The sequence below is a fragment of the Homo sapiens genome, chromosome 9 (assembly GCF_000001405.40).
Source record: "Homo sapiens chromosome 9, GRCh38.p14 Primary Assembly".
In the NCBI taxonomy this organism is placed as follows: Eukaryota; Metazoa; Chordata; class Mammalia; order Primates; family Hominidae; genus Homo; species Homo sapiens.
In genome coordinates, this window is record NC_000009.12 from 70,776,521 (window position 1) to 70,790,932 (window position 14,412).

At 37.1% G+C, this 14,412-nt stretch overlaps 1 protein-coding gene across 23 annotated transcripts in view; it reads right to left on the minus strand.

Moving 5' to 3' along the window:
* The window catches only part of TRPM3 (transient receptor potential cation channel subfamily M member 3), a 917,912-nt gene that overhangs the window by 247,461 nt on the left and 656,039 nt on the right, over positions 1-14,412 (minus strand). For 19 of the 23 annotated variants that reach the window (NM_001366143.2, NM_001366141.2, NM_001366142.2 and 16 more), the window contains one exon: positions 7,585-7,759. In NM_001366143.2, the coding sequence (NP_001353072.1) occupies positions 7,585-7,759 (175 nt within the window). Of the gene's footprint in view, positions 1-7,339; positions 7,760-14,412 lie in introns of those variants that run through there. The other 4 variants (NM_001366144.2, NM_001366153.2, NM_206948.4 and 1 more) reach the window with 1 other exon arrangement.

Consider the following 14,412-nt stretch of genomic DNA (forward strand, 5'->3'; position numbering starts at 1 on the left):
AAATAAGTAAACTGAATGCCCTTAAAAACTCCATGTAAATAAAAATACTAAGCAATAAATCTGTCAGTCCTGTCAAAATGAGTATTTTTATGGCACAGCTTGCTTTTCAGGGAAGAATGTTCAAGTCTGATAGACGTTTGGAACAAAGTACAGCTGTGGGAAAGAGAGAAATGTGGTGATTGATGGTAAATATGTTTTTCAAGTCAACTGGGTTTCAAAGACAAAATTTGGCAGAAGGTACAGAGGGCTTGTGGTAACAACGCAGTGACTTGTGAGGAGAATGCAGGTGAGGCCCAGAAACCAAGGAAGGTATTTTTGAAAACATCAGAGAAGTGTGGACCATAGGCCACTCTCAATGGAATCACCTGGGGTTTGGGTTTCATATACAGTTTCGTGGGCCCCACCCCACGTGCATCAAAGTCAGGATATTTAGGGGGAGCTGGATCTCCCAAAGCTCTCTAGGTGATTCTCAGACATGCTGAAGTTTGATAACCACGTTTATTTGGATTTTTGTTGTTGTTGTTGTTGTTGTTAAACAAGTAGCCAAGAGTTAGCTAAGGAAATCTCAGAGGAATGTAATCAATAGAGAGCTTTGAAATCATCACTTGGCATTGATGCACTTTCTGAAAGTTGTAGATGATGGTTCTTTAGAAGGGATTTCTCTATCATAAAGAATTATGCAACTATGTTTTCTCCGACATTTGCTCTTTATGTTCAAGGACACTCTTTCCTAAAGAGTTTTGCTCAACTCTTTAGAAAATAGTGTGGAGCTGAGCAATTATAAAGCAAATTTAGTCCATGTAGGGCACTGATGAGCCAATTTAGATCAATGAAACTTTTCCTCTCCGTGGTGCTTTCTTCCCTGAAGAAGAAACTCTGGATAATTTTTTTTAAAGTCAATGCTTCATTCTTCCCATGTTGACACAACATGAGGGATAAAATAGGGAACTCTAAGACAAACGTATTTATTTTATTTCACACTTTCTTAAATACATGGAGCTACTCTAGCCTTATAGAGCTTGGATACAATAACACAGGTGGCAATATATCTATGTCTTTATATATACTACAGAGGCAAAAACTGCCGTGGTATTTTCTCCATGACACTTTCTCCATTTACTCCAACCTATGCTTCCTTCTGCCTTCCCAGAATTCAATAATAACATCTAATTGAAAAATTATTTGTTAGTATACTAGTTCAAATAAGATTATGTGTACATCTCTTGAGGAAAGTTATACTACTTTTCATAGCACCCATAGTACCTAAAACAAGCATTCAAAAAATACCTAAGTGATTGATTGATTTGAAAAGTTATATTATCAGTTCTATCTTTAAGTCTTCACTTAAATTTTAAGCATATATATACACACAGATAATTATAGGGATTAGGGATTAATATATATACTTATGTATACGTAAAGTAATCTTATTGGATTAATTTTATTAGTGTATATAAATTTAACAGACACAGACACACACACACACACACACAAAACACTGCCACACTGTTTCAATGAATTTGTCCCTTTTACCAATTTTCTTCAATCTTATTTAGATTAATTCTTTGTCTGAGTTGAGTTATATAAGGGAGGGTCAAATATTAGCTCCTCTCAGTCATCCAGGCTGACCCTCAGCTTAGATCCAGTTTTTGATGGAAAAGGGGAAGAGGAAAAATAGAGTCATTCTATTGCCATTTTTGTGGATATTAACATACACTGTTCCATTGATAGGATTCTCGTGAAGAATGCGCCACGCATTTATTTTACCCTCTGTGCTCTTGTGACCTTTTGTGCCTTTATCAAAGCACACATGACCTTCTAGTTATCTGCACTTGTGTCTATGTTTTAGTCCTCATTATAAAGTTCTTGATAGCTAGGGCCCTGCCTTATTCATCTTCCAACAGGCCCATGCATATAGTAGGCACTCAATAAATGTTAACTTGGAAAACAGTTTACAAAAATAACCCTTTTTATAGATAAAACCACCAGCGTTCTTTGTCTGTACAAGGTGTTTCCAAGGTTTCCCTTCTGAGAAAGTTATAAAAAAGAATCAAGTTTTGACATGATTTCTCATAGAAAATTTTAGAAAAGAGACAAGGTAAGATGAAATTTACAAAAACTATAATGGATACATGAAGCCAGCATGCTTGATATGTCTTTTTTCTCACTTGACATTCCAATTATGTCTAAATCATGCTGGAATACAAACCACTGAGATCAATTACGTTCTTTTGGCAGGTCTTATAGAGACAAATGATAAGGGTTTGACACCCTTCAGCTTTAGATGGAAATCTCTGGAGCAGCAGGAGAAAACAATAGTGACCACTGCACAGAATGACAGGCCCTAGGGATTACAGACTACACTTCGGTTTCTAAAATGTCTAGGTTTCTGGTGACTTTCTCATACCTTTGGTCATTTTGATGTATATTTGCAGAGAAACACGCTTTTGCCACATCTCTACTAGGAATATATAGTTACATAATTTGAAGCCATACAACATTTTTTTTTTCATCTGCAGTTAGCATTCATTTATGCCTTTGCCTCAGCTAATCAAGTAATGTAGGGACCCTTATTAAACATCCTTTAAACAGGAAAGTCAAATTTTTATTAGAAATCTATTATCTATTCTCCTGCTCCCAAGCCATTGCTCATTTATTCTTCACAATATCCAATACAAATTCCACTGACACACAAAAACGTGAACAGTCTCTTGGTATTTTCCCCATTGATAACTTCCCAAAAGTTAGTAACAGATGACTAAAAAACTTGAAGGCTTTCTGCTACCAGAAAGCTCTGCTTTTTGTCCTAAAGTATCTAAAAATGGTAAATACAGATGATTATCTCTGGAATGAAGATGCCAAAATAAACATAAAAATCCGTAATAAAATTTGGATGAACGAGGAGCACCATTTTGGAACACAAACGCATTTGGATGCCTTTTTCACACTGACTTTTTTTATGGGTGAAGTACTTGCTCACTGATTGACAAGTGACAGGCTAGACAACATTTCTCTGCAGTCTGACACTTCGGTTGAGCATTATCAGGCAAAGTAATCTCTGATTTCAATGTCAGGAGTCTACATCCTGAAAGGTATGGTATCCCCAACTATGAGTACTACAGTTCATATTGCTCAAACACAAAAAGTAGAATCCTAGTATTAAAAAACTTAGGTGATTTAATTACTATTTGGGTAGCATGAATCTCTTTAACTTTGTCATGTTTAGTCATTCATGATTTAGAAATAAAATTTGATAATATTTCTAAAGCAACAAAATTAATTACGGAAAGTGACAATTTTCATTAATTAGTGACTCATTCTAAACTATGACAGATGAGAAACAGAAAATCCATTATGCCAATGAGAAAAAAAATGGGAGTTTGACCATTTCTTCCAGGTACTATATGCCATAGAGCAGAGATAGGGAGAAAGAGACTCAAACAAGAATTTAACTGCAATTATCTCTTAGTTTATCCAAACCCATTTGGATTGTGATAGATGCAGTCTGTCTTTTTCTATCCTAAGTAATCTCAACTACAAAAACTAATCAGTTTTGTCAATTACAAATTACTTCCAAAGTGATTGTCTTTTAAATTCACATTCTAGAAGGGAATTCAAAGATAAAACATAAAGTTCACACAGGTTAAAATGTAAGGCTTTTTTTTACTCCTTTAAGATTATAAAATGGAAGTCTCTATAGCTGAATAGTTCTTGGATCTGTATTATTTAAGAATCTTTAAATTAACTTAAAACATTTTTAATCATATTTAAGTTACCAAAGTAATTGAAAAGATACTGATGCAGCCCTGAAGTAAAGGTTTCATAAACAGGATGTATGTGTTCTCTATATCCAATTCTATTTGTACAATGGTGCACATTTATATAGATTTGTTTATATGATCACATAGTTGTAGATTTACATTTATTTGTAGTGAAACATTTCCAACACTGTTGGACTTTATTAGAAATCAAAGAAGAAATCCTTCCTGGTGAATAAGGTCTAGGTGGGCCATTTTTTTTTTCTCTTAACATAAAGCACACTACTGCAAGATAATGTTATTTGGAAATGATTTTTAAAATTGGCTGCACATGTGTGGCTAGACAATTTCTTATCAAGCTAAATAAACATGATTAAATTCTTGAAGTTATTCAGGTGGCACAGAGAAACATTCTGCCTTCATTTTATCATGATGAATTTATAATTGCTTTCCTGGAGCAAGAGCACACTTTTATCATAACACTACATATAAAATACAAAACTTCTCTTTAGACTTCTATTTTCTTAACCATTTCTAAATATTTCTTAAAATTTTTAAAGTTTTAATTTTAAAACGTCTTAAGATCAAAAATTATACTTAATTCTTTACCTCTGCACTAGTTATGTGCATAAACTCATATTCTTTGATAATCAGCCATTGTTCACAGTTGGTGTAGATCCCATATAGATTGTGCTTTTGCATATTTTGACTATAAAAAATTACAACAAAAACTGCTAATTAAAGTTAAAAGAGGATGATATTTTTGGCTGAGCGTGGTGGCTCACACCTGTAATCCCAGCACTTTGGGAGGCCAGGGTGGGAGGATCACGAGGTTAGGAGATCGAGACCATCCTGGCTAACACAGTGAAACCCTGTCTCTACTAAAAATACAAAAAATTAGCCAGGGGTGGTGGCAGGTGCCTGTAGTCCCAGCTACTTGGGAGGCGGAGGAAGGAGAATGGGGTAAACCCAGGAGGTGGAGCTTACAGTGAGCTGAGATTGCATCACTGCACTCCAGCCTGGGGGACAGCATGAGATTCCATTTCATAAAAAAAAAAAAAAAAAAAAAAAGAAAACATGATATTTTTGACTCTTAATTTTGGGGTTGTTGTATAATGGCCTAGGTAGGAAAAGGGAAAGAATCCCCATGACACGGGGTTGATCAGCTTGGACACTGGTTTACAACCAGGAATGCATTGCTTTTGATTTCTTTGGAATACCAATAGTAATAATAATAATACTAAAGTATAATGAAAAGAGGAAGCTGAAGACAACTGAAGTGCATTTGAATATTTACAAAACAATATCACTGAAGTACTATATGAGGAACACTACAGCACATACCATAAAACACATTTCAGTACATGTTCATGATATACCAGCAGGGATTCTGGCCTGGGATCTTGGGCTGTGTGGCTTTGGACAAAGCGCTTAATTTAAATAATCTTAATTTAAATAATAATTTAATTTAAATAATCTAGGTCCCACCCAGTTCTAAAATACATAACCTTTCCTCCATATTAAAGCAGGAAGGGCAATCTAAGTATTTTAACGTATTTATATTTAACTTATTAAATATTTTAACATTTTCAAGGTAGACAATCCAAGATCATGATAAATAATAGGCACTTAGTCCTGGCTTTCATTGTGTATACACCTGAGAAACCTGAAATGCTGAGGTGAACAGTGTACTTTTCCATGAGTTTTCTGAAAAAACAAACAAACAAACAAAAAAACCCAGAAAAACAAAAGGTGCATTCTGAATGCAAATTTGTATCTACTTTGTAGGAATACCATAAAATAATTTGCAAACTAAAAAGTAAGAAAAAAGCCAAAGCTAAAATCTGTATTAAAATTATTAAGTTTATTTCTGAAAAATAGAACAAATTGCTAGACTTAGAGAAAGGAGAACCTTGGTTAATTTTTTTTTTCTTTTTTTTTTTTAAGACAGAGTTTCGCTCTTGTTGCCTAGGCTGGAGTACAATGGCACAATCTTGGCTCACTGCAACTGCAACCTCTGCCTCCTGGGTTCAAGCGATTATCCTGCCTCAGCCTCCCAAGTAGCTGGGATTACAGGCACATGCCACCACACCTGGCTAATTTTTGTATTTTTAGTAGAGATGGGGTTTCGCCATGTTGGTCAGGCTGGTCTTGAACTCCTGAACTCAAGTGATCCACCCGCCTTGGCCTCCCAAAGTGCTGGGATTATAGGCATGAGCCTCTGTGCCTGACCCTTGGTTAAATTTTTAACAAAACAAAGCACAATTCAGAATCTTAAACTCTGGGTTGGTTGTAAACATAGAGAAGTTTGGGTACATATTCTCTTTTTAGGTTCTGAGCTATAAAGTGGACCAATATTTACTATAAAATATAATAGTAATTTAACTAAATTTAAATAGTTCTGAGCTATAAAATGGACCAATATTTACTATCAAAATATAATAGTAATTTAACTAAATTTGCCAGTAAACTCCAACTTAGAGTTTATAAAAATTATTATTATTATTATTATTATTTTTTGGTTTCAGAGCTTTCGGGTTTGCAGTGTTAAGCTGGAGGCTCAATGCCTCTTGTTATTCCTCATTTCACAAACATAGGTTCATCTACTAACTAGGTAGGCGTACTGTTTTAATGGCTTATGTGGAGTACTGGGCTGCTGTCAAAGATGAGGAAGGGGATAGGGAGAGACGGGATGGTACTGACTTGCCATGCTCAGTCTCTATTTAAATAAAGCAGGCTGGGTACAAGAGGGATGGGTACGAGAGGGATGGAGGAGGGAGCATCCTGCTGTAGGTGAGCTCACTTGTATTTTTGTTTTGTAATACTTGTCTACTTACTAGACTTACTGTGAGCATCTTGAGAGTGGCAATTAATTGTACGTTTTTCTTTTTTACATCTTAATGTTTGGCCTAGTACATGGCACCCAGGAAACACTTAATGTATATTTATAAAAGGCATGAATAAAAGACCATCATCTCATTTGGGGCTTTCCCCTCCCCACAAATTTCATGTGTTAGGGGAATTGATTGGATTAGGAAGTTCCTTACTTAAAACATCAATGGCTTCCCTGGGTTTTACCCCCTCAATCTCACTCACACCTTAGGATGGTTTATTTTGATCTAATAATCTGCAAGAGTGCCTGGATTTCAGCATTTGCTCAGTGGGAAGTTGGATTGGAGGGGAGTGCTGTGAAGGGGGAATCTTTTCTGGGGTTGGGGGCTTTGGGCTGTTGAAAGTAGCATTAAGAGCCTAACAGACCAAGGAAAGGGCATGAGGGGTTCAACAGGAGTTTACAAAGGACCAGAGTAGTTACCATTACAGAGATTTGACTTTCCCAGCCCGTCTAGAGAAGCCTGATGGCACGATCTACCACATATCTTCACAGTGGCTTCGCAATGCTGGTGTTTGGAGGCCAAGCCTGGAAGCTGAACAACCCAGCTTCTCTGAAGTTACCAACCTGAACCATCTGGTACAGACTGGATGTGCTTCATGTGTTAAAACTCAATTCCTGCTTCTCCTTACTGGGAGGAGGAGAAGGAGATACGAAGAGAAGAAAAAGGAGACCACAGCCTATGACCTCCTCTCTTTTCCTCACCCTTTTTATTATCCGTGTAGCTTTCATAGAATTTCCCACTTCACAGGACATTTAGAATATGTTTCTCTGTTCTTCACCACAGCCCTCCCATGACAGACATTTTTTAGACAATTTGTTCATAGCTTGTTTTGATTTGAGGTCTTGGTTGAGCTACTGAAAACATAATCCACTCATACCCTCGTTTCCAAACAGGCTTTAGGGTTCTTCCATGGGGCCTGGAAAGTTACCTACCCGCCTTCTTCTGAGTATTTATGCCCAAAGGCCAGGATGTCCGATGCCCGTCCACTCCCATCACAGACAACCACTGGCACGGGAGGGGTGTCTCGAAGGTACTCCAAAACAATCGAGATCACATTGGGTCCTCCTTCCACTATGAGTGCCACCACAGGAACACCTTGACCGATTCCTGCATTAAAAAAGGAAAAGAAAAGGAAAAAAAGAGAAAAGAACACAAAGCCAGCAAACCAAAGAAACAAAAAGAGAAACAAAAAGCACAAACTAAAATTACTGAGCACGGGGGAGGTAGCAACATATGAAGGGATATGGTACTGAGCAAAAATTTACAGAAAACCCTTCAGCCAAATTTTCCCACCAGAAAGTCTATTTGACTTTGCCCTCTCCCCTCAACTCTCAGGATGCTGGGGTCAGTGAAGGCACGGGGTTCCATACTTTACAGGGGAGGGCCTGGGGTGAGGAGGGAGAAAAAGGAATTAGTCAACAGACAAAGCACCAGACCAGCAACCAAGAGCGTGGAAGCTGAACATGATCTGAAGCAAGTCTTTTATCTTTCCAATGAGTCTGTTTCCTATATGAAAAGTAGGAAGTTAAAAAATGCCACCTCCCTGAAGTTATCACAGGGGTAAGAAAATCCCTACATGGCTCTTTTTATTAAACACTATCAAAATCAGCTGGGGACATATTTTAACTTGTTGAATCAACTACTGGCTGAATTCTGGGTCTGTCTTTGACCATAGATGATCAGACTGATTATTAATTTTTTGTTTTTGAGATGGAGTCTCACTCTGTTACCCAGGCTGGAGTGCAGTGGCACAATCTCAGCACACTGCAACTTCTGCTTCCCAGGTTCAAGCAATTCTCCTGCCTCAGTCTCCCAAGTAGCTGGGATTATAGGCACGTCCACCATGCTCAGCTAATTTTTGTATGATTATTGATTCTTAACAGCATGATTGTCATGTTGAATTACCCAGGAGATATGGTATCTGCCATCTGCCATTATTGCATCTGCCACTACTGAGCAAGGAGCTAGGCACGTGATGTGAGTTCAGTAAACATTTGTTGGATTCAGTTGAATTGTTTCCCAAAAGTATTTAAGCTATTTATGCTGAGCCAGAAGACATTGCTGTTTTCAGGTGAAAATTGCTTTAATTGCTGTATGCATCGTTCAACCTAACCTTAAAGAGAAGTAATAAAATCAAATGTCCATGAGAGACATGATGACAAAGAAAAATTCATTTTTAAGTGACATTTCAAGTATGATTTATCATTGAATAACTTCCTTTTGTTCAATTTGGTATCACATTGTATTTTTTCTCTCTGCTGCCTCAGAATAATTAAGGAATTGAGCAGTACCATAAAAGTGAGCTGGTCTTAGAGGGCGCACACAGCAGTTATCTTAAAAAAGAAATAATCAAAATTCTGTACTACTTCCATAAATATAAACTAAAATAAAACAACTCTTGGACATCTGAGTTCTCCCTTTTACTTCTTTTGCTATGCTTTTATCTGATATCAAGAAACTGCTTCCCCGTAATGAGTAATAGTTTAGGATTTGGTTTCTTGCTCGGGTAAAGGATATTTTTGACTTATGTGACCTGTTTTACTTCTAAAGCATAAATACTTTAGTCTCCTAGGGCTTTATCTCCTTTAACTTGATGTTTTTCCTGGTGTGATTTTCATCTTAAAAGAATGATCCAAAATGCCAGTTACACAAAAGTGGGTGCTGTTTTGCATGTCCACTTAAAACACGTAAAAGAAAATGATGATTGTTGATCAAGGCAAGATGCCAAGATTTCTTTCAGTTCCTAGAGGGAACTGGGAGAGACAAGTGACCTGGGGACCCATTCGTTTTCTGTGGATGGGGAGGTCTTGAGAATTACTCTTTCAAATCCAAGGAGAGGGAAGTGAAAGGCCTTGCTGTTCTGTTTTGACCCAGGAGCCCTTAGTGACTCAAATGCTAGGTCTCCTTAAGGCTCTCTTCAGGTGTCTGTAAAGGAGACAGTTTCCTTATTGCTGCCTATTATGATGATTGAGTAAATTCCTGTTGAAAGGTACTTTAAAGATTAAGGGCTGGCCAGGCACAGTGGCTCATGCCTGTAATCCCAGCACTTTGGAAGGCCAAGGTGGGCGGATCACCAAAGGCCAGGAGTTTGAGAACAGCCTGGCCAACATGGTGAAACCCTGTCACTACTAAAAATACCAAAAAAAAAAAAAAAAAAAAAAAATTAGCTGGGCGTGGTGGCAGGCGCCTGTAATCCCAGCTACTTGGGAGGCTGAAGCTGGAGAATTGCTTGATCCCGGGAGGCAGAGGCTGTAGTGAGCCAAGATCACACGATTGTGCTCCAGCCTGGGCAGCAAGAGTGAAACTCCATTTCAAAAAATAAAATAAAAACAAAAAAAGATTAAGGGCTAACTTGAAATGTTAACACAACATTTCTCTTTGGGAGGAGAATTTGCTCTCATAAAAATATCCACCCCATAGGGATTTGTATTTTATAACATGCCTTCAAAAAGGTAGCCTATTTTCCATTGTTAAAGGTTATTTTATGAAGTATTTCCCAAAGTATTACGTTGGTGCAAAAGTAATTGTGTTTTTTGCCATGCTATTTATTTTTTCCCTTGATTTGCTTTAGCATATGCTCCTATGTCATTGACTTTGTATTAAGGAACAATACCCTATACCTGCTGTTTTATATCAGATGATATATTTAGACCCCTTCTAGGATCTTCTAAGACATCCTAGAATTTGCCAAGTTCTAGGACTCTTGGATTCTGTCGGTGGAATCTTTACTCCAACTCACAGACCAAGTGTGATCCACTCAGTGTTCTCGTGGAGGGAGAAGTACTTAGCATGGACCTTCTACCATGTTCCAGTGATCTGGCATCTACAAGACAGCAGGAAAGATGGCTGGAAACCTCCTCTCCCTTTGAGAGCATACATAATGAAAAGACCAAATCTCATAGGCTGATTTGTTTGAGAGTAATACATGGTCAGTTTATTCTCTGTCAATATATTTGTCAATGTATCAAAATATTATAACTTCTAGAAGTACAGAAAGATTTTCAGGATAATGATTTCCTATATTTGAACTGAAACTAATTACCAATTAAAATGATGAAAACAAACGTATTAATCCAGAGCTGAACACACACACACACATTTAGTCAAATTTGGTGCCAAAAATTGAACGGAGCAAACTGTCATCTTTTTCATAAACATTGAATATATCTATGCTTCCAAATTCTCTCTTATTTTTTTCAGTGATAATACACGGACATTTGTTCCATGGATAATAAAAGCCTTTATAGGGTACAAACAAAAGCAGTTTTGAATTTCTTAGTTATGAGAGGTAGAAAATCAAACTATGCCTAAAACTATCATGCTTATTGTAAGTTAACCAAGATATGTTAACATTAAACCTTTCTGTCAGGTCACACACACACTTACTTACACACATAAACGTATTGTCTTTATTTCTGGCAAAAGAAAATGACATCAGATAACTAGTAATGACCTGAAGTAGTCTGTAGCCTATTCTTAGAATATGTTTGTGAATTTTATGAAAGCTAGGGACCCTTTCTCCAGAAAAGTAAACATACATGTGGGTAGACACAAAAATGTTTCTATGCAATTTCAGGGACTTTTTGGATTCTTTTTTTTTTTTTTTTTTTTTTTGCTTTTTATTTTTTTATTTTATTTTTTTAATGTTTTAAATGGTTTATTGAAGAATAACATATATACAGAAAAGTACACACATTATCTCTAACAACAATACATATCCACATAGTGAACACACTCATGTAACCTCCACCCATATCAAGAAATAGAATATTATTAGAACCCTAAGAGGGCCCCTTGTCCCCGCTACCAGCTACTACTCTCTCACTATCCTGACTTTTTTTTTTTTTTTTTTAATATACTTTAAGTTTTAGGGTACATATGCACATTGTGCAGGTTAGTTACATATGTATACATGTGCCATGCTGGTGCGCTGCACCCACTAACTCGTCATCTAGCATTAGGTATATCTCCCAATGCTATCCCTCCCCCCTCCCCCCACCCCACCACAGTCCCCAGAGTGTGATGTTCCCCTTCCTGTGTCCACGTGTTCTCATTGTTCAATTCCCACCTTTATGGATTCTTGAAACCTACCTTAGCTGATCATAAGCCTATGAATACTTTGTTAATGGACCCTTGCAAAACCCCACCCTAAATTAAGCACATTGATACATCTGCAAAGGGCATCTGTTTGTGTTGTTTTGTGAAACTCACTGAGGCCTCTGACACAAGTTCTAGGATAAATTCTTGAACAAAATTCTATGCCCAGGAGGATTATATCACATTATTACTGCCCAGTTATATTGATTGGCTAAACCTTCCACAGTGAAACACTGTGTATAGCAGTGGTCTCCAACCTTTTTGACACCAGGGACTGGTTTCATGGAAGACAATTTTTCCATGGACGCCGGAAGGGGGATGGTTTTGGGATGGTTCAAGTGCATTGCATTTATTATGCACTTTACTTCTATTATTATTACATTGTAATATATAATAAAATAATTATACAACTCACCATAATGTAGAATCAGTGGGAGCCCTGAGCTTGCTTTCTCATCTAGGGTTCCCATGGTCCCATCTAGGCATGATGGGAGACTGTGACAGATCATCAGGCATTAGGTTCTCATAAGGAGCACGCAACCTAGATACCATATATGCACAGTTCACAATAGGGCTCACGCTCCTATGCAGCTGATCTGACAGGAGGCAGAGTTCAGGTGATAATGTGAGTGATGGGGAGTGACTGTAAATACAGATGAAGCTTCGCTCACTTGCCAGCCGCTCACCTATGGCCTGGCTCCTAATAGGACATGGACCGGTACCAGTCTGTGGACAGGGGATTGGGGACTCCTGGTTAGGATATCACCCCCACTCTCTCTCCATTCTCCTCTTTCTTTCTTGTTTTTTTTTCTGTTCACACTTTTTTTCTAAATTACAGCTCAAACACAGGATATTTAAAAAACTCTAGCAAGATTCACAATCTTACAAATTAGAATCTGCAGGATAAGACTTCATAGAAAAGAAACAGCTTTTTAGAATGTCAAGAATGCTACATTTTTTATTTGTGACATAAAGAAAACATTTTGGGAATCCACTGCATATCCAGCTGGGCTGGATTCATAGGGCTCACTGCCATTTTCTTTATGCTCATAAAGAAACTGATGTAAGTTCCTTTGAAGAGCCTTACAAATTTGTGTCTCGCTCAGCTAAACCTACTGGTCATTCATTGAAAACAAATGAATAAAATAAAAGGTTGTTTAGATTTAATTTAAAAAATACAGTCTGTAGGAAAAAAAATTACCTAGATTCTCCCAGGTCCCTTTTTTGGTGAATACTTGTTCTTTGGTTTTGGAATGAAGTAAGCCAATTCCTTAGTTGATTGCAGTCATTTTTCATTTTCTACCATCACCAAAGACTTGTCATAGCTCTCAGAACTTTCCATTAGAATTTTATTTGAGAGCAATATAAGGTTGCTTTAAGCAGGAATAGGCAAGATGCTTGCCACACTCTCCAGCTTTTGCAATTTTGGAATAGGAAACATTAGAGCATACGAAAATGTGAGCTTGAGTAACAGATTTAACAGCTCTGCGTTCTACAGGGTTTTAGGTTACCCTAGGGCTTTCTAATTACATACTGAACCCTAAGTCCTTGCATAAGATAACCTCTTAGACTTTTGTCACATTTTGTTTCAACTGCTAGGCAATTCAGCCGGGGCTCCCAATAAAGCTAAAAGTGTCTAAACTGCCATAAGAAAAGACTGGGAGAGGCATTGTGAGGGAGAGAGGTGTCAGGAATGAAAGAATGTCTTAAAATTCTAAGCAGTCTTTCTTCTTCTTCTCTTTATTAACAGCAATTAACTCTCTCTGCTGATATGAAACCATAATCTATGATCAGCTTAGCTATTTGTGAAAACATTTGGTGTTTAATAGTAAAATGCCTGGGTAAAATTTCAATCAAACTAAATTAACTGTTAGGTTTTATGTCAAGGTCACCCACAGATGATCTAAAGTGCGTATGGGTCTGAAGGATAATCTATTTGCTGTTGGAAACTGGCTCATATTTACATGGAGATAGAGCATAGAAGATCATTCTCTACCTACATCTTAATGACTATAGGCCACAGATCATGATTATTACAGTATAGGTCACTTAAAAAGGGGATTTGCACTTTAAGTGAGAGATAACTTCCTGAAGATCTTGAACAATTCAATACTAAGTCTATCAGTGGTGGCTAGATACTTGTGTTTACTAGCTAAAGCATGTCCCAGTAACATGAACACAGTTAGCAATTCCTTGCCTTGCCAGCTCCAGGGTTATGTGATTTTTGTTGATTTAAATGTCTGTGTAGAGAATTCATGTACTTTGACATTATGCATCCATGGAGAGCAGGCAAGCTATTTTGCCTCATTTTAATGGGTAACAAATTAATACCTACTTGAGAAATAATGGCTGAAGTTTGCACACTACCGCAGCTCTTTACAAATAGTTTCAGAATTCGATTCTTGATATCTTTAACTAATGCATCTCTTCTGTGGTCTGGAAAGTGTGAGATGAATTTATGAAAACTACATAAATCTGATAATCGGTTGTGCCTGAAAACATTCAAAAGTATTTTTTTTTCTTAGTAAGTTTAAGGTGCTTCTTACAATTAGGAAGATTCCCAGTTGTGAATACATGAATATTCAGGTACAACTGTGGAAATATTATTGTACAGACAGAGAATATTTTAATACATTATATTTTTGCAAAAGGAAATGTGACTA